Below are 19,393 nucleotides of genomic sequence, written 5' to 3' on the forward strand. Positions count from 1 at the left end.
GTTTTCAAATGCATACAAAAGTAGGAAGGATTGTATAGTGAACTCAATGTATCTGTTCCTCACCTTCCATCATAATCAATACATGGCCAATTTAATTTCCTTTACACCTTCCATTCCTTGCCTTATGCCAACCTCCCCAACCCCTCAGATTATTTTGAAGCAAATCCCAGACATCAACAAATACTCTTCTACACCATGAGTATGGGTCTCAAGTTAGGGAAGTGATCTGGTTCTAATTTGTATACTTGGCTTGCCCCACTCCTCCAGTGGCCTGAGGAGTCATGGGTAGGGCAGGGGGCCTTGCCTCCTGCTCTTGCATGTGGTCTTTCACAACAGCTGAACATATGGGGGACCTGTCCCAGGAAAGCGTCAACCCTGGACCCTGAGGGATATGTCCAGAGAAGTGAGGAGGCTGGAGGAATGAGAGCTATTAGTCAGAGAAAGAAAAGACCTGGAGAGGTATGACCATTGTCTTTATATGATTGGAGGGTGGTTTGGATTTGAAGTGTTAGATTTGTTTTACTTGTTCAGGTGTGAACACAGAATGCAAATGAAGGCCCTCTGGGCAGAAATAACCAGGAAGCAGATTTTTAGTTCAAGAACTTTCTAATCATCTGAGTGGTCAAAAAGTGGAGTAGGTCACCCAGGCTAGGGGATCACCAGGTGAAGACGAGGTAGCAGAATTTAAGCAATGGGTTAGGGTGGTACATGAGTAAATTAACTAAGTTCCTTTAAATGAATTTTCCAGTTTCTAAGAGAATCAATGACACACTTGGTTAAGAGTCAAGAACTTTGTGTGACCACAGAAGTCCTTTTACCTTATTGGGTCCTACTCATACAATTAGGATTTTGGATTATGTGATAGCAATAATAGCTAACTATGTTGAGCCCTTATGTGTTTTAAGCAAGTATTAGCTTGCTTTCAATAACTACATAAGATAGTGTATTAGTCCAATCTCACACTGCTAATAAAGACATACCCAAGATTGGGTAATTTATAAAGGAAAAAGGTTTAATTGACTCAAAGCTCAGCATGGCTGGGAAGGCCTCAGGACACTTACAATCACTGCAGAAGGGGAAGCAAACATGCCCTCTTCACATGGTGGCAGGAAGGAGACGTGCCAAGCAAAAGTGGGAAAAGCCTCTTATAAAACAATCAGGTCTCTTGAGAACCCACTCACTTTCACAAGAACAGCAGCATGGGGGTAATTGCCCCCATGATTCAATTACTTCCCACCGGGTTCCTCCCATGACATGTGGGGATTATGGGAACTACAATTCAAGATGAGATTTGGGTGGGGACACAGCCAAACTATATCATTCCACCACTGGCTCCACCCAAATCTCATGTCCTCACATTTCAAATTATAATCATGCCCTCCCAACAGTCCCCCAAAGGCTTAACTCATTCCAGCATTAACTCAAAAGTCCGAGTCTAAAGTCTCATCTGAGACAAGGCAAGTCCCTCCTGCCTATGAGCCTGTAAAATCAAAAGTAAGTTAGTTGCTTTCTAGATACAATGGGGGTACAGACATTGGGTAAATACACCCATTTCAAATGGGAGAAATTGGCCAAAATGAAGGGGCTACAAGCCACATGCAAGTCCAAAATCCAATAGGGCAGTCGTTAAACCTTAAAGTTCCAAAATGATCTCTTTTGACTCCATGTCTCACATCCAGGTCACACTGATGTAAGAGGTGGGTTTTCACAGTCTTGGGGAGCCCTGCCCCTTGGATTTGCAGGGTACAGCCCCAACTTCTAGCTGCTTTCACAGGCTGGCATTGAGTGTCTGTGGCTGCACATGATGCAAGCTGTTGCTGGGTCTACCATCCTGGGGTCTGAGGACAGTGGCCCTCTTCTCACAACTCTACTAGGCAACGCCCCAGTGTGGACTCTGTGTGGGGCTCCCATCCCACATTTCCCTTCCACACTGACCTAGCAGAGATTCTCCATGAGGGCTCTGCCCCTGCAGCAAACTTCTGCCTGAGCATCCAGGCATTTCCATACATCTTTTGAAATCTAGGCAGAGGTTCCCAAGCCTCACTTCTTGATTTCTCTGCACCTGCAGACCCAACACCATGTGTAAGCCACCAAGGCTTGGGGCTTCACCCTCTGAAGCAAAGGCCTGAGCTGTACATTGGCCGCTTTTGGCCATAGCTGAGATGCAGGGCACCAAGTACCAAGACTGCACAAAGCAGCAAGGCCCTGGGCCCAGCATATGCAGCCATTTTTTTCTCCTCAGCCTCCATGTCTGTGATGGGAAGGACTGCTGTAAAGACCTCTGACATGCCCTGGAGACATTTTCCCCATTGTCTTGGGAATTAACATTTGGCTTCTCTTTACTTATGCAAATATCTGCAGCTGGCTTGAATTTCTCCTCAGAAAATGGGTTTTTCTTTTCTAGCACATCACCAGGCTGCAAATTTTCTGAACTTTTATGCTCTGCTTCCCTTTTAAACATAAATTCCAACTCCAAACCATATCTTCATGAAAGAATAAAACTGTGTGTTTTTAAGAGCACCTAAGTCACATCTTGAATGCTTTGCTGCTTAGGAATTTCTTCTGCCAGATACCCTGAATCATCTCTCTCAAGTTCAAAGTTCCACAGATCTCTAGGGCAGGGGCAAAATGCCACCAGTCTCTGTGCTAAAGCATAACAAGAGTTACCTTTGCTCTATTTCCCAACAAGTTCCTCATCTCCATCTGAGACCACCTCAGCCTGGACTTTATTGTCCATATCACTATCAGCATTTTGGTCAAAGTCATTCAACAAGTCTCCAGGAAGTTCCAGACTTTCCCACATTTTCCTGTCTTCTTCTGAGACCTCCAAACTGTTCCAACCTCTGCCTGGTACCCAGTTCCAAGGTCTCTTCCACACTTTTGGGTATTTTTACAGCAGTGCCCCACTACCTGGTACCAATTTACTGTATTAGTCCATTCTCACACTGCTTATCAAGACATACCTGAGGCTGGGTAATTTATAAAGGAAAGATGTTTAATTGATTCACAGTTCAGCAGGGCTGGGGAGACCTCAGGAAACTTACAATCATGGCAGAAGGGGATACAAACACATCCTTCTTCACATGGTGGCAGGAAAGAGAAGTGCCAAGCAAGAGGGAAAAGCCCCTTACAAAACCATCAGATCTCGTGAGAAATCACTCACTATCATGAGAACATCAGCCTGATTCAATTACCTCCCACTGGGTCCCTCCCATGACTTGTGGGGATTATGAGAACTACAATTCAAGATGAGATTTGGGTGGGGACACAGCAAAACTATATCAGATAGGTACTATAATTATCTGTATTTTGGATATGGAGAAACTGAGGCACAGAGACAGTATGTATTTTGCTCAAAGTCACACAGCTATCATATGATAGAGCTGGGATTTGAACCCAGGCAGTTGGTTTCAATGCTAGCATGCTTAACCACTATGGCACAGTATATTTCAAAGATAAGTTTGAGTGTTTCAGCTCTAATCATACAGTGATTCTAGGATGAAATGAGATAATATATGTGACCTTGCATTATTCTACACAAATGACACCACTTCACATCTTATATTTTTCTCAAAACAAGGATATTACAATTTCTTTTCTCCAACCAGATCTTGGACAAGCTGTGCTCCTCTGAGACAGTAACATCAGACAAAAGTCTCATAGACCGTGATCTCTGACAGGGCGAGTACTGAACCAGGCGTATTCACCTTTGAAAGCCTGGGACGATGTAGGCCCTCAGGAGGATTTGTTTATTGATTGATGGCAGGACTGTGGCCCAGAAAACTTTTCACTCGAAAGGTGCCATGTTCCAGGTGGCCAGCTGGGGGAGCCTTAGCCCAAAGGCAGGGCAGGCTGAAAGTAGCAGAGGCTGTGTTGTGATTGGCGGTCAGCGGTCCGGAGTCCACCGAGGGCTGGGCTGGATGTGAAGGGTTGAGTTGCCTGTGAGGAGAGGCCTTGCCTGTCCCAGAGGCCTGGTCCCGCTCAGCCAGGTCATGGGACAGTGGAAAGGCCCCGCTGGAACCTAGGAGGAAGTTGCGCTGGTCAAGACGGTCTTAGGGGACAGGAGCTGGTGGCGGGAGGGGAGACAGCACTCCGAGCAACCTCAGCGTGCCTCGAGGGGGACAGGCATCCGGGAGGCCAGAGGCTGAGCTGGGTTCTGGGCGCTGGCAGGTCAGCAGGGCAGGGAAGAGAAGGTCATCGAGGGTGGGCCTGGGGGCTTCCCAGCAGCCAGCCCCTGTGACTGGGAGAAAATCCTGCCCCTGGGCGGAAAGGCCCCCATCTCTCCCTAATGGTGAGAGGGCAGGATCCCGAAGGGGCCCCAAACCGTACCTCTCAGTGTGCGCCTCCTTCAGGCGATTTCCCACCCCATCCCCGTCTTCTCTGCCATTCAAAGGGGCAAGGGTGTGTAGGAGAGGAGGTAGGGAGATTCCTCTCTCCCGAGGATCCCTGGCAGAGGGGCCTGGCACTGCAGGGGTGCATGCGAGAAGTGGGTGCACGTCCGCAGAGCTTGGGTGGGCAGCAACGAGAGGGCTTGGGTGGGCGAGAAGAGAAGGCATGGGCTGCTTGCACTCATTTTATTCCAACCCCACAGAATGCGGCTCAACCACGAGGTGAGTTGCTGAGGCTGGGCGAATGCTCTGCTCCCATTTTACCCAGGGAAGCCAGATGGAGACCTGAGAGAAGATAGGAGGAAGAACCCGGAACCCCACTCTTATGGGAAGTGGACTTGGACCAGAGACTTTCCTCTTTATGTTTTATTTTATTTTGTGTTTTTAGAGACAGGGTCTCACTCCATTGCCCAGGCTGGAGTGCAGTAGCACCATCACAGCTCACTGCAGCCTCAACCTCCTGGGCTCAAGCAATCCTCCTGTCTCAGCCTCCTGAGCAGCTGGGACCACAGGTGTGCACCACCATGCCCCACTAATTAATTTTTTTTATGGAGGTGGGGTCTCACTATGTTGCCCAGGCTGGTCTCAAACTCCTGGCCTTAAGTGATCCTCCCACTTCAGCCTCCCAAAGTGCTGGGATTACAGGTGTGAGCTGCTGTGCCTAGTTCCTCGTTTTTTAACTCTATTTCCTCTTCCCCAAGGAAGGAGATGAAGGAGAGGCCTCTGTTTGCTGCTAGTGTGAGGTTAAGCTGGGAGGATGGCCAGAGGCTGAGTCACAACTCCTGAGGCCCCTTTAGGTGCTGCGGTTTCAGTAGTCCAGCCTCCTACCCTCTTTAGGCCACTTCAGCCCCAGGTTCTAGCACCTTCACCCTGGTGCTTTTCCCTCCCAGGGAGTCTCATGAACTATTTCCTTTGGGGAAGGTGAAGAAAGACCAGTTTAGCTTGGAGGGGACCATCTCTACTACTCAATGCCCCAATAGAGGACTTCCCAGCTGTCATCTCGAAATTTCTCATTCTTGGCACTTGTGGGAAAAGTCTAATTCTAGAGCTCCCCAGAGTCACTTTATCTCCTGGGGCAGTAAAAATCTGCCCATGGCACTGATCTTGGAGGAGACCTCTTATCTTCAGGGACACCGCATCTGCTAGAGGTGGCAGAGGCCCTGCCATTGTTTCTTTCCGCCTTTGAGCTGCAGCACCTTTTTCTTGGCTGGTCTGAAGAACCCCTCTACCCACACTGCAGGCTGGAGGTCGCCTTGCATGCTCCGGCTCCTAGGCTGGGTGAGCCTTAGAGCCTTTGGGTGGACTGCTGCTTTAGCAGCTTAGGAAGGCAAATGCTGGCTCCTCTTCCTCTCCTCACTTGGTAGGACTCAGAGCAAAGAAAGGATGGCTTTTCTCCAGTCCTTCTCCCTTTTCAGACAGGCGGCACAGCTAGAGAAATATGTAAAGATCAGGGGAAGCCTGTTTTGCATAGTGAGAGTCTTGCACGCTTGGGACATCAGGACAGCCTCCAGGGGTTCTAAGTGTGTGTGGACTATTCTCAGGGAAGAAATGCTGGAGGGCCTTGGGCTGACATTCTAGCTCCTCCACACTGCTCTTGACATCCTAGAATAAAAAGGGAAGGCCAAGGTCACCTTTAGGGCATTCTTTGAATGTGGCTGGCCTGGGGCTGGAATGGGAGAATATAGTGCGGTCCTGGCTCTGAAAAACCACAGTTACTCTGGGTCTGTGCCTTAAAGCTGTGGTTTCATGAGGTCAGATTTCCTCTCAACAGCCAGGAGTAATCAAGATAGAGAACCATTTAGGCTTGTTCCTTCCTATATGTCAACAGCTATTCTACCCCAGGGCTCAGATTTAGAGCTAGTGTCCTGTTCTCTTTAGCAGAACTGACTCCTCTCTCCTCTGTGCCTCTGTGTGATTGCTGACCTGGCCTTAAGCACCGCCTCAGTGGTTAAGTTTTGCAGAGAGGGCTGGTTACTTCCCTGGTACCTCTCTTGTTATTGAACCCTAGTTTCCTATTGACTATCTATCTTTTCTTCATTTACTCCTTATTTTGTCATGTCTAGCTCCCAGCAGTTTTCTGAGAAAGGGTACTTGGAAAGCCATTTTTTTTTAGACTTTCAACGATGGAAATAGATTTATTCATTCCTCACAGTTGATTGATACACTGTCTGCTTAAGCTTTTTGAGGGTCAAATTATGTTCTCTGGTATCAGTAGTAACTGTGAGCTGTGAGAGACCTTTCTGTTTCATGATAGACAGATACAATATGATGGACTCTTGGAGAAATCGCTGGTCACAAGGGAAGAAGGTGAGGTCTCTGATGACCCTCCCAAAATACACATAGCCAATAAACCAAATCATATCTGAGCCCAGTTTACTGGAGCTGTGGATTGGGGTGGCCAAGAGCTTTGTCATGCGTATGGTAATAGCTTATAAGTATTTATTCCCAAATGGCTAAGAAATTAATTGAGCACCATTTATTTTACCATAGTTTCTGTGTTTACTATATACTAAATGTTTTCTATAGGCTAGAGCCATTATCTGAGCTCTCTAGTCAGTTTCATGGATCTATCTGGTCAATTCTTGTAGCATCATATATATTTTAAAGTTTGTCTTCTCTTTATGTATTTATTTTATTTATGAGGTGTCTTAAGAAGAAATCTCAAACTGTCAAAAGGCTCTGATTTTATTCTTGGGCTACCTAGTGCTTTTGACAGCCTTGGAAGATGCAATGGAAAGCATGTCCATCAATGCTAAAAATGTCATGAGTTGGCAGGAATACACAAAACCCAGGAGAGCAAAGTAGCAGTCTAAAAAGATTCTGCTAATGATTTATTAAAGTCTCAAAAGATTATATATATATATAAATATATATATATATTTTTTTTGAGACAGAGTCTCATTGGGATTACAGGGATTACAGGCATCTGCCACCATGCCCAGCTAATTTTTGTATTTTTAGTAGAGATGGGGTTTCACCATGTTGGCCAGGCTGGTCTCGAACTCCTGACCTCAGGCAATCCGCCTGCTTTGGCCTCCCAAAGTGCTGGGATTACCGGCATGAGCCACTGCACCTGGCCTATATGTATATACTTAAAGGATAGATACAGAGTCTCTCATTTGGTTTAAAGACCAACTGCACAAGAATAAAAGTGAATATGCATGCCTTAACAGTTGTGTATGTCAAGAACACACGGGTTTCACTTGGATGCAAAGTCAGCTTGAGGCTGCTCTACTCTGATCAGATAAAATACCTACAGGAACCAGGATGGTAACTGCACTAGTGAAGTGGACTGTTAATTTAACTATATTACATTATATTTAATTTAATATGTACATGTTAAATTAATATGTAACTTTATTTACATAATAAACATTAAACTCATAGGAAGAATCTTTATTTCTACAAAGCCGTGTGTGCTCTCCCCACTTTTTTTGAAGCACATGGCCAGCTCTCTCCATCTATATTTATCATTCTCCATGTTCGATACAGAAAAATTTCAAGAAAAATTTCATTTTTCTCCTTACTGCGAGAAAAGCAACAGCATAACAGCAATGATACATGGAAACGGACACTCTGTGCTGGGGAAGCAAATAAGGGGAGGTGGGATTTCCTGTGTGGGAGTTAGATGGTTGCATGCTCCTTCTGAACTGAGCAGCCATCAACTCCAACTGATTCTTGCCATACAGGAGTATGGGTCAATGATTGCCAGACCTCATGTTCAGGAGATGCCAGCAATCTGGATTTTCCAATGAGATTTCCTGATTTTAAAAATTTTGGCAACCATGTTTTTATTTTATTTTTTATTTATTTATTTATTTTTTTCAGTGTTGTGTGCATTCTTTATTTTTATTATTATTTTTTTTTATTATACTTTAAGTTTTAGGGTACATGTGCACATTGTGCATGTTAGTTACATATGTATACATGTGACATGCTGGTGCGCTGCACCCACCAACGTGTCATCTATCATTAGGTATATCTCCCACTGCTATCCCTCCCCCCTCCCCCGACCCCACCACAGTCCCCAGAGTGTGATATTCCCCTTCCTGTGTCCTTGTGATCTCATTGTTCAATTCCCACCTATGAGTGAGAATATGCGGTGTTTGGTTTTTTGTTCTTGCGATAGTTTACTGAGAATGATGGTTTCCAATTTCATCCATGTCCCTACAAAGGACATGAACTCATCATTTTTTATGGCTGCATAGTATTCCATGGTGTATATGTGCCACATTTTCTTAATCCAGTCTATCATTGTTGGACATTTGGGTTGGTTCCAAGTCTTTGCTATTGTGAATAATGCCGCAATAAACATACGTGTGCATGTGTCTTTATAGCAGCATGATTTATAGTCATTTGGGTATATACCCAGTAATGGGATGGCTGGGTCAAATGGTATTTCTAGTTCTAGATCCCTGAGGAATCGCCACACTGACTTCCACAATGGTTGAACTAGTTTACAGTCCCACCAACAGTGTAAAAGTGTTCCTATTTCTCCACATCCTCTCCAGCACCTGTTGTTTCCTGACTTTTTAATGATTGCCATTCTAACTGGTGTGAGATGATATCTCATAGTGGTTTTGATTTGCATTTCTCTGATGGCCAGTGATGATGAGCATTTTTTCATGTGTTTTTTGGCTGCATAAATGTCTTCTTTTGAGAAGTGTCTGTTCATGTCCTTCGCCCACTTTTTGATGGGGTTGTTTGTTTTTTTCTTGTAAATTTGTTTGAGTTCATTGTAGATTCTGGATATTAGCCCTTTGTCAGATGAGTAGGTTGCGAATATTTTCTCCCATGTTGTAGGTTGCCTGTTCACTCTGATGGTAGTTTCTTTTGCTGTGCAGAAGCTCTTTAGTTTAATTAGATCCCATTTGTCAATTTTGGCTTTTGTTGCCATTGCTTTTGGTGTTTTGGACATGAAGTCCTTGCCCATGCCTATGTCCTGAATGGTAATGCCTAGGTTTTCTTCTAGGGTTTTAATGGTTTTAGGTCTAACGTTTAAATCTTTAATCCATCTTGAATTGATTTTTGTATAAGGTGTAAGGAAGGGATCCAGTTTCAGCTTTCTACATATGGCTAGCCAGCTTTCCCAGCACCATTTATTAAATAGGGAATCCTTTCCCCATTGCTTGTTTTTCTCAAGTTTGTCAAAGATCAGATAGTTGTAGATATGCGGCATTATTTCTGGGGGCTCTGTTCTGTTCCATTGATCTATATCTCTGTTTTGGTACCAGTACCATGCTGTTTTGGTTACTGTAGCCTTGTAGTATAGTTTGAAGTCAGGTAGTGTGATGCCTCCAGCTTTGTTCTTTTGGCTTAGGATTGACTTGGCGATGCGAGCTCTTTTTTGGTTCCATATGAACTTTAAAGTAGTTTTTTCCAATTCTGTGAAGAAAGTCATTGGTAGCTTGATGGGGATGGCATTGAATCTGTAAATTACCTTGGGCAGTATGGCCATTTTCACGATATTGATTCTTCCTACCCATGAGCATGGAATGTTCTTCCATTTGTTTGTGTCCTCTTTTATTTCCTTGAGCAGTGGTTTGTAGTTCTCCTTGAAGAGGTCCTTCACATCCCTTGTAAGTTGGATTCCTAGGTATTTTATTCTCTTTGAAGCAATTGTGAATGGGAGTTCACTCATGATTTGGCTCTCTGTTTGTCTGTTGTTGGTGTATAAGAATGCTTGTGATTTTTGTACATTGATTTTGTATCCTGAGACTTTGCTGAAGTTGCTTATCAGCTTAAGGAGATTTTGGGCTGAGATGATGGGGTTTTCTAGATAAACAATCATGTCGTCTGCAAACAGGGACAATTTGACTTCCTCTTTTCCTAATTGAATACCCTTTATTTCCTTCTCCTGCCTGATTGCCCTGGCCAGAACTTCCAACACTATGTTGAATAGGAGCGGTGAGAGAGGGCATCCCTGTCTTGTGCCAGTTTTCAAAGGGAATGCTTCCAGTTTTTGCCCATTCAGTATGATATTGGCTGTGGGTTTGTCATAGATAGCTCTTATTATTTTGAAATACGTGCCATCAATACCTAATTTATTGAGAGTTTTTAGCATGAAGGGTTGTTGAATTTTGTCAAAGGCTTTTTCTGCATCTATTGAGATAATCATGTGGTTTTTGTCTTTGGCTCTGTTTATATGCTGGATTACATTTATTGATTTGCGTATATTGAACCAGCCTTGCATCCCAGGGATGAAGCCCACTTGATCATGATGGATAAGCTTTTTGATGTGCTGCTGGATTCGGTTTGCCAGTATTTTATTGAGGATTTTTGCATCAATGTTCATCAAGGATATTGGTCTAAAATTCTCTTTTTTGGTTGTGTCTCTGCCCGGCTTTGGTATCAGAATGATGCTGGCCTCATAAAATGAGTTAGGGAGGATTCCCTCTTTTTCTATTGATTGGAATAGTTTCAGAAGGAATGGTACCAGTTCCTCCTTGTACCTCTGGTAGAATTCGGCTGTGAATCCATCTGGTCCTGGACTCTTTTTGGTTGGTAAACTATTGATTATTGCCACAATTTCAGAGCCTGTTATTGGTCTATTCAGAGATTCAACTTCTTCCTGGTTTAGTCTTGGGAGAATCACCAGCTAACATCATAATGACAGGATCAAATTCACACATAACAATATTAACTTTAAATATAAATGGACTAAATTCTGCAATTAAAAGACACAGACTGGCAAGTTGGATAAAGAGTCAAGACCCATCAGTGTGCTGTATTCAGGAAACCCATCTCACATGCAGAGACAAACATAGGCTCAAAATAAAAGGATGGAGGAAGATCTACCAAGCCAATGGAAAACAAAAAAAGGCAGGGGTTGCAATCCTAGTCTCTGATAAAACAGACTTTAAACCAACAAAGATTAAAAGAGACAAAGAAGGCCATTACATAATGGTAAAGGGATCAATTCAACAAGAGGAGCTAACTATCCTAAATATTTATGCACCCAATACAGGAGCACCCAGATTCATAAAGCAAGTCCTGAGTGACCTACAAAGAGACTTAGACTCCCACACATTAATAATGGGAGACTTTAACACCCCACTGTCAACATTAGACAGATCAATGAGACAGAAAGTCAACAAGGATACCCAGGAATTGAACTCAGCTCTGCACCAAGCAGACCTAATAGACATCTACAGAACTCTCCACCCCAAATCAACAGAATATACATTTTTTTCAGCACCACACCACACCTATTCCAAAATTGACCACATAGTTGGAAGTAAAGCTCTCCTCAGCAAATGTAAAAGAACAGAAATTATAACAAACTATCTCTCAGACCACAGTGCAATCAAACTAGAACTCAGGATTAAGAATCTCACTCAAAGCCGCTCAACTACATGGAAACTGAACAACCTGCTCCTGAATGACTACTGGGTACATAACAAAATGAAGGCAGAAATAAAGATGTTCTTTGAAACCAACGAGAACAAAGACACCACATACCAGAATCTCTGGGATGCATTCAAAGCAGTGTGTAGAGGGAAATTTATAGCACTAAATGCCTACAAGAGAAAGCAGGAAAGATCCAAAATTGACACCCTAACATCACAATTAAAAGAACTAGAAAAGCAAGAGCAAACACATTCAAAAGCTAGCAGAAGGCAAGAAATAACTAAAATCAGAGCAGAACTGAAGGAAATAGAGACGCAAAAAACCCTTCAAAAAATCAATGAATCCAGGAGCTGGTTTTTTGAAAGGATCAACAAAATTGATAGACCGCTAGCAAGACTAATAAAGAAAAAAAGAGAGAAGAATCAAATAGACACAATAAAAAATGATAAAGGGGATATCACCACCGATCCCACAGAAATACAAACTACCATCAGAGAATACTACAAACACCTCTACGCAAATAAACTAGAAAATCTAGAAGAAATGGATGCAACCATGTTTTTAAAACCTTGTGCAGGACAGGCTCAATGAGCAGGATAGGCTCAATGAGCAGGATGCTGGATTGTGCTGTCTCAAACATTGTAGCCAGCTCTAAGTACTTTATTTTATTTTATTTTTTTGAGACGGAGTCTTGCTCTGTCGCCCGGGCTGGAGTGCAGCGGGGCGATCTCAACTCCCTTCAACCTCCACCTCCCGGGTTCAAGTGATTCTCCTGCCTCAGCCTCCTGAGCAGCTGGGATTACAGGCATGCAACACCGTGGCCAGCTAATTTTTGTATTTTTCGTAGAGACGGGGTTTCACTGTGTTGACCAGGCTGGTCTCGAACTCCTGACCTCAGATGATCCACTTGCCTTGGCCTCCCAAAGTGCTGGGGTTATAGGCGTGAGCCACTGTGTCTGGCCAGCCCTGAGTACTTCAAAGTAACGGTGACAAACTACAGCACATTAAAATTGTGAGAGAAACTAGAAGCTTGGGAAAAGGGTGGAAGACCCAGGGATGATGCTTCTGAGAAAAGAAAGCTCAGCTGAGATTTGATACCAGACTTCTGGTTGTGTATGAACTTCCCTGTTAGGGACAGAACATTTTTTTACTGGAGACAGGAGGAGCGATGGGATCAGGTCTAGCATTCGAAGGTATTTTGGAAGCAGCTGTGAGATCTATATAAGCAGAACTAACAATCAGCTACTTTAGGACATCAGGACATATGTGCCTGGGAAAAGCAGTGAGTTTCCATCATTGGAGATGTTCAGGCAGCATCTTCAACCAGTTGGGGACATCATAAAGAGTACTGAAACACTGGAGGAGGGCATCATGTCCAGTCCTGATGGTCCTGTCCATCCCTAAGGGATTATGATTCCAATCTTCTTTAGCTACTGTGGAGCATTTGGGCTTTTCCTTTCCCTAAGCTCCCTTGCAAGTTGTACCATTCTTTTTGCTATTTAAGGCATGCAGTAGGCAATAATTCAATGTATGGGGTTCCAATCCTGGGTGCCCTGGCTTTTGCCCTTGGCAAAGCTTTATAGCATCTCTTAGCCTTACTTTATTTATAAAAATATGAGTGAATACAAAATATCAGTGTGAAGATTAATATGGCCCATGCAGCTCTTGTGAGAGGTCATGGAGATTGGGACTGTCGAATGGCCTTTAAAAAAAATTAATCCAATGGCCTTTAAAAAAAATAGTCTTTTAAAAAAATTTAGCTCTGCTGAAGGGGGAGGTTCCAAGATGGCAGAATACGAACAGCTCCAGTCTACAGCTCCCAGCATGAGCGATGCAGAAGACTGGTGATTTCTGAATTTTCAACTGAGGTACAGGGTTCATCTCACTGGGGCTTGTTAGACAGTGGGTGCAGGACAGTGGGTGCAGCCCACGGACCATGAGCCAAAACAGGGTGAGGCATCATCTCACTCGGTAAGTGCAAGGGGTCGGGGAATTCCCTTTCTTAGCCAAGGGAAGCCATAACAGACGGCACCTGGAAAATCAGGTCACTCTCACCCTAATACTGCACTTTTCTGATGGTCTCAACAAACGGCACACCAGATGATTATATCCCACGCCTGGCTTGGAGGGTCCCACACCCACAGAGACTTGCTCACTGCTAGCACAGCAGTCTGAGATCGAACTGCAAGTCGGCAGCGAGGCTGGGGGAGGGGTGCCCGCCATTGCTGAGGCTTCAGTAGGTAAACAAAGTGGCTGGGAAGCTCGAACTGGGTGGAGCCCATGGCAGCTCGAGGAGGCCTGCCTGCCTCTGTAGACTCCACCTCTGGGGGAAGCGCATAGCTGAACAAAAGGCAGCAGACACTTCTGCAGACTTAAACGTCCTTGTCTGACAGCTTTGAAGAGAGTAGTCCTTCTCCCAGCACGGAGTTTGAGACCTGAGAATGGACAGACTGCCTCCTCAAGTGGGTCCCTGACCCCGAGTAGCCTAACTGGGAGGCACCTCCCAGTTGGGGCCGACTGACACCTGATATGGCTGGGTGCCTCTCTGAGATGGAGCTTCCAGAGGAAGGATCAGGCAGCAACATTTGCCGTTCCGCAATATTTGCAATTCTGCAGCCTCTGCTGGTGATACACAGGAAAACAGGGTCTGGAGTGGACCTCCAGCAAACTCCAACAGACCTGCAACTGAGGGTCCTGACTGTTAGAAGGAAAACTAACAAACAGAAAGGACATCCACACCAAAACCCCATCTGTATGTTACCATCATCAAAGACCAAAGGTAGATAAAACCACAGAGCGGGGAGAAACGAGAGCAGAAAAGCTGAAAATTCTAAAAATCGGAGCACCTCTTCTCCTCCAAAGGAATGTAGCTCCTCACCAGCAATGGAACAAAGCTGGATGGAGAATGCCTTTGATGAGTTGAGAGAAGGCTTCAGAAGATCGGTAATAACAAACTTCTCCGAGCTAAAGGAGGATGTTCAAACCCATTGCAAAGAAGATAAAAACCTTGAAAAAAGATTAGACGAATGCCTAACTAGAATAAACCGCATAAAGAAGACCTTAAATGACCTGATGGAGCTGAAAACCATGGCATGAGAACTATGTGACACATGCACAAGCTTCAGTAGCCGATTTGATCAAGTGGAAGAAAGGGTATCAGTGATTGAGGATCAAATGAATGAAATGAAGTGAGAAGAGAAGCTTAGAGAAAAAAAGAGTAAAAAGAAATGAACAAAGCCTCCAAGAAATATGAGACTATGTGACAAGACCAAATCTCCGTCTGACTGGTGTACCTGAAAGTGACGGGGAGAATGGAACCAAGTTGGAAAACACTCTGCAGGATATTATCCAGGAGAACTTCCCCAACCTAGCAAGGCAGGCTAACATTCAAATTCAGGAAATACAGAGAACACAACAAAGATACTCCTCAAGAAGAGCAACTCCAAGACACATAATTGTCAGATTCACCAAAGTTGAAATGAAGGAAAAAATGTGAAGGGCAGCCAGAGAGAAAGGTCGTGTTACCCACAAAGGGAAGCCCATCATACTAACAGTGGATCTCTCAGCAGAAACTCTACAAGCCAGAAGAGAGTGGGGGCCAATATTCAACATTCTTAAAGAAAATAATCTTCAATCCAGAATTTCATATCCAGCTAAACGAAGCTTCATAAGTGAAGGAGGAATAAAATCCTTTACAGACAAGCAAATGCTGAGAGATTTTGTCACCACCAGACCTGCCTTAGAAGAGCTCCTGAAGGAAGCAGTAAACATGGAAAGGAACAACCGGTATCAGCCACTGCAAAAACATGCCAATTTGTAAAGATCATCAATGCTAGGAAGAAACTGCATCAACTAACGAGCAAAATGACCGGCTAACATCATAATGACAGGATCAAATTCACACATAACAATATTAACCTCAAATGTAAATGGACTAAATACCCCAATTAAAAGACACAGACTAGCAAATTTGGTAAAGAGTCAAGACCCATCAGTGTGCTGTATTCAGGAGACCCATCTCACGTGCAGAGGCACACATAGGCTCAAAATAAAGGGATGGAGGATGATCTACCAAGCAAATGGAAAACAAAAACAACAGGGGTTGCAATCCTAGTCTCTGGTGAAACAGACTTTAAACCAACAAAGATCAGAAGAGACAAAGAAGGCCATTACCTAATGGTAAAGGGATCAATTCAACAAGAAGAGCTAACTATCCTAAATATATATGCACCCAACATGGGAGCACCCAGATTCATAAAGCAAGTCCTTAGAGACCTACAAAGAGACTTAGACTCCCCCACAAGAATAATGGGAGACTTTAACACCCCACTGTCAACATTAGACAGATCAACGAGACAGAAAGTTAACAAGGATATCCAGGAATTGAACTCAGCTCTGCACCAAGCGGACCTAATAGACATCTACAGAACTCTCCACCCCAAATCAACAGAATATACATTCTTCTAAGCACCACATCACACTTATTCCAAAATTGACCACATAGTTGGAAGTAAAGCACTCCTCAGCAAATGTAAAAGAACAGAAATTATAACAAACTGTCTCTCAGACCACAGTGCAATCAAACTAGAACTCAGGATTAAGAAACTCACTCAAAACTGCTCAACTACATGGAAACTGAACAACCTGCTCCTGAATGACTGCTGGTTACATAACGCAATGCAGGCAGAAATAAAGATGTTCAATGAGAACAAAGACACAACATACCAGAATCTCTGGGACACATTTAAAGCAGTGTGTAGAGGGAAATTGATAGCACTAAATGCCCACAAGAGAAAGCAGGAAAGATCTAAAATTGACACCCTAACATCACAATTAAAAGAACTAGAGAAGCAAGAGCAAACACATTCAAAAGCTAGCAGAAGGCAAGAAATAACTAAGATCAGAGCAGAACTGAAGGAGATAGAGACACAAAAAATCCATCAAAAAATCAATGAATCCAGGAGCTGGTTTTTTGAAAAAGATCAACAAAATTGATAGACCACTAGCAAGACTAATGAAGAAAAGAGAGAAGAATCAAATAGATGCAATAAAAAATGATAAAGGGGATATCACTACCGATCCCACAGAAATACAAACTACCATCAGAGAATACTATAAACACCTCTATGCAAATAAACTAGAAAATCTAGAAGAAATGGATAAATTCCTGGACACATACACCCTCCCAAGACTAAACCAGGAAGAAGTTGAATCCTTGAATAGACCAATAACAGGCTCTGAAATTGAAGCAATAATTAATAGCCTACCAACCAAAAAAAGTCCAGGACCAGATGGAATCACAGCCGAATACTACAGAGGTACAAAGAGGAGCTGGTACCATTCCTTCTGAAACCATTCCAATCAATAGAAAAAGAGGGAATCCTTAACTCATTTTATGAGGCCAGCATCATCCTGATACCAAAGCCTGGAAGAGACACAACAAAAAAAGAGAATTTTAGACCAATATCCCTGATGAACATTGATGCAAAAATCCTCAATAAAATACTGGCAAACCGAATCCAGCAACATATCAAAAAGCTGATCCACCATGATCAAGTGGGCTTCATCCCTAGGATGCAAGGCTGGTTCAACATACACAAATCAGTAAACATAATCCATCATATAAACAGAACCAATGACAAAAACCACATGATTATCTCAATAGATGCAGAAAAGGCCTTTGACAAAATTCAACAACCTTCATGCTAAAAACTCTCAATAAATTAGGTATTGATGGGACGTATCTCAAAATAATAAAAGCTATCTATGACAAACCCACAGCAAATATCATACTCAATGGGCAAAAACTGAAAGCATTCCCTTTGAAAACTGGCACAAGACAGGGATGCCCTCTCTCACCACTCCTATTCAACATAGTGTTGGAAGTTCTGGCCAGGGCAATCAGACAGGAGAAAGAAATAAAGGGTATTCAATTAGGAAAAGAGGAAGTCAAATTGTCCCTATTTGCAGATGACATGGTGGAATATCTAGAAAACCCCATTGTCTCAGCCCAAAATCTCCTTAAGCTGATAAGCAACTTCAGCAAAGTCTCAGCATACAAAATCAATGTGCAAAAATCACAAGCATTCCTATACACCAATAACAGACAAAGAGAGAGCCAAATCATGAGTGAACTCCCATTCACAATTGCTTCAAAGAGAATAAAATACCTAGGAATCCAACTTACAAGGGATGTGAAGGACCTCTTCAAGGAGAATTGCAAACCACTGCTCAATGAAATCAAAGAGGACAGAAATAAATGGAAGAACATTCTATGCTCATGGATAGGAAGAATAAATATCTTGGAAGTGGCCATACTGCCCAAGGTAATTTATGCATTCAATGCCATCCCCATCAAGCTACCAATGACTTTCTTCACAGAATTGGAAAAAACTACTTTAAAACTCATGTGGAAACAAAAAAGAGCCCGCATTGCCAAGACAATCCTAAGCCAAAAGAACAAAGCTGGAGTCATCATGCTACCTGACTTCAAACTATACTACAAGGCTACAGTAACCAAAACAGCATGGTACTGGTACCAAAACAGAGATATAGACCAATGGAACAGAACAGAGCCCTCAGAAATAATACCACACATTTACCACCATCTGATCTTTGACAAACCTGACAAAAACAAGAAATGGGGAAATAATTCCCTATTTAGTAAATGGTGGTGGGAAACTGGCTAGCCATAGGTAGAAAGCTGAAATTGGATCCCTTCCTTACACCTTATACAAAAATTAATTCAAGATGGATTAAAGACTTAAATGTCAGACCTAAAACCATAAAAACCCTAGAAGAAAACCTAGGCAATACCATTCCAGACATAGGCATGGGCAAGGACTTCATGTCTAAAACACCAAAAGCAACAGCAACAGAAGCCAAAATTGAGAAATGGGTTCTAATTAAACTAAAGAGCTTCTGCACAGCAAAAGAAACTACCATCAGAGTGAACAGGCAACCTACAGTATGGGAGAAAATTTTTGCAATCTACCCATCCGACAAAGGGCTAATATCCAGAATCTATAAAGAACTGAAACAAATTTACAAGAAAAAATCAAACAACCCCATTAAAAAGTGGGCAAAGGATATGAACAGACACTTCTCAAAAGAAGACATTTATGCAGCCAAAAGACACATGAGAAAATGCTCATCACCACTGGTCATCAAAGAAATGCAAATCAAAACCACAGTGAGATACCATCTCACATCAGTCAGAATGGCAATTATTAAAAAGTTAGGAAACAACAGGTGCTGGAGAGGATGTGGAGAAATAGGAACACTTTTACACTGTTGGTGGGACTGTAAACTAGTTCAACCACTGTGGAAGACAGTGTGTTGATTTCTCAGGAATCTAGAACTAGAAATACCATTTGACCCAGCGATCCCATTACTGGGTATATACCCAAAGGATTATAAATCATGCTGCTATAAAGACACATGCACACGTATGTTTATTGCAGCACTATTCACAGTAGCAAAGACTTGGAACGAACTCAGATGTCCATCAATGATAGATTGGATTAAGAAAATGTGGCACATACACACCATGGAATATTATGCAGCCATAAAAAAAGGATGAGTTCATGTCCTTTGTAGGGACATGGATGAATCTGGAAACCATCATTCTGAGCAAACTGTCGCAAGGACAGGAA

General features: G+C 43.1%; 1 long non-coding RNA gene across 1 annotated transcript in view, besides 1 other annotated feature; it reads left to right on the plus strand.

Moving 5' to 3' along the window:
- Positions 1-19,393, plus strand: part of LOC101927045 (uncharacterized) — a 59,245-nt gene that overhangs the window by 34,968 nt on the left and 4,884 nt on the right. The window lies entirely within an intron of this gene.
- Positions 2,003-2,544: an enhancer, noted in NCBI's record as "NANOG-H3K27ac-H3K4me1 hESC enhancer chr14:24949129-24949670 (GRCh37/hg19 assembly coordinates)". NCBI's record gives its function as "activates a minimal SCP1, AML or CMV promoter by ChIP-STARR-seq in primed H9 embryonic stem cells {active_cell/tissue: H9 hESC(primed)}" and the evidence as "EXISTENCE:reporter gene assay evidence [ECO:0000049][PMID:30033119]".

The sequence above is a fragment of the Homo sapiens genome, chromosome 14, assembly GCF_000001405.40.
Source record: "Homo sapiens chromosome 14, GRCh38.p14 Primary Assembly".
NCBI classification, from domain to species: Eukaryota; Metazoa; Chordata; class Mammalia; order Primates; family Hominidae; genus Homo; species Homo sapiens.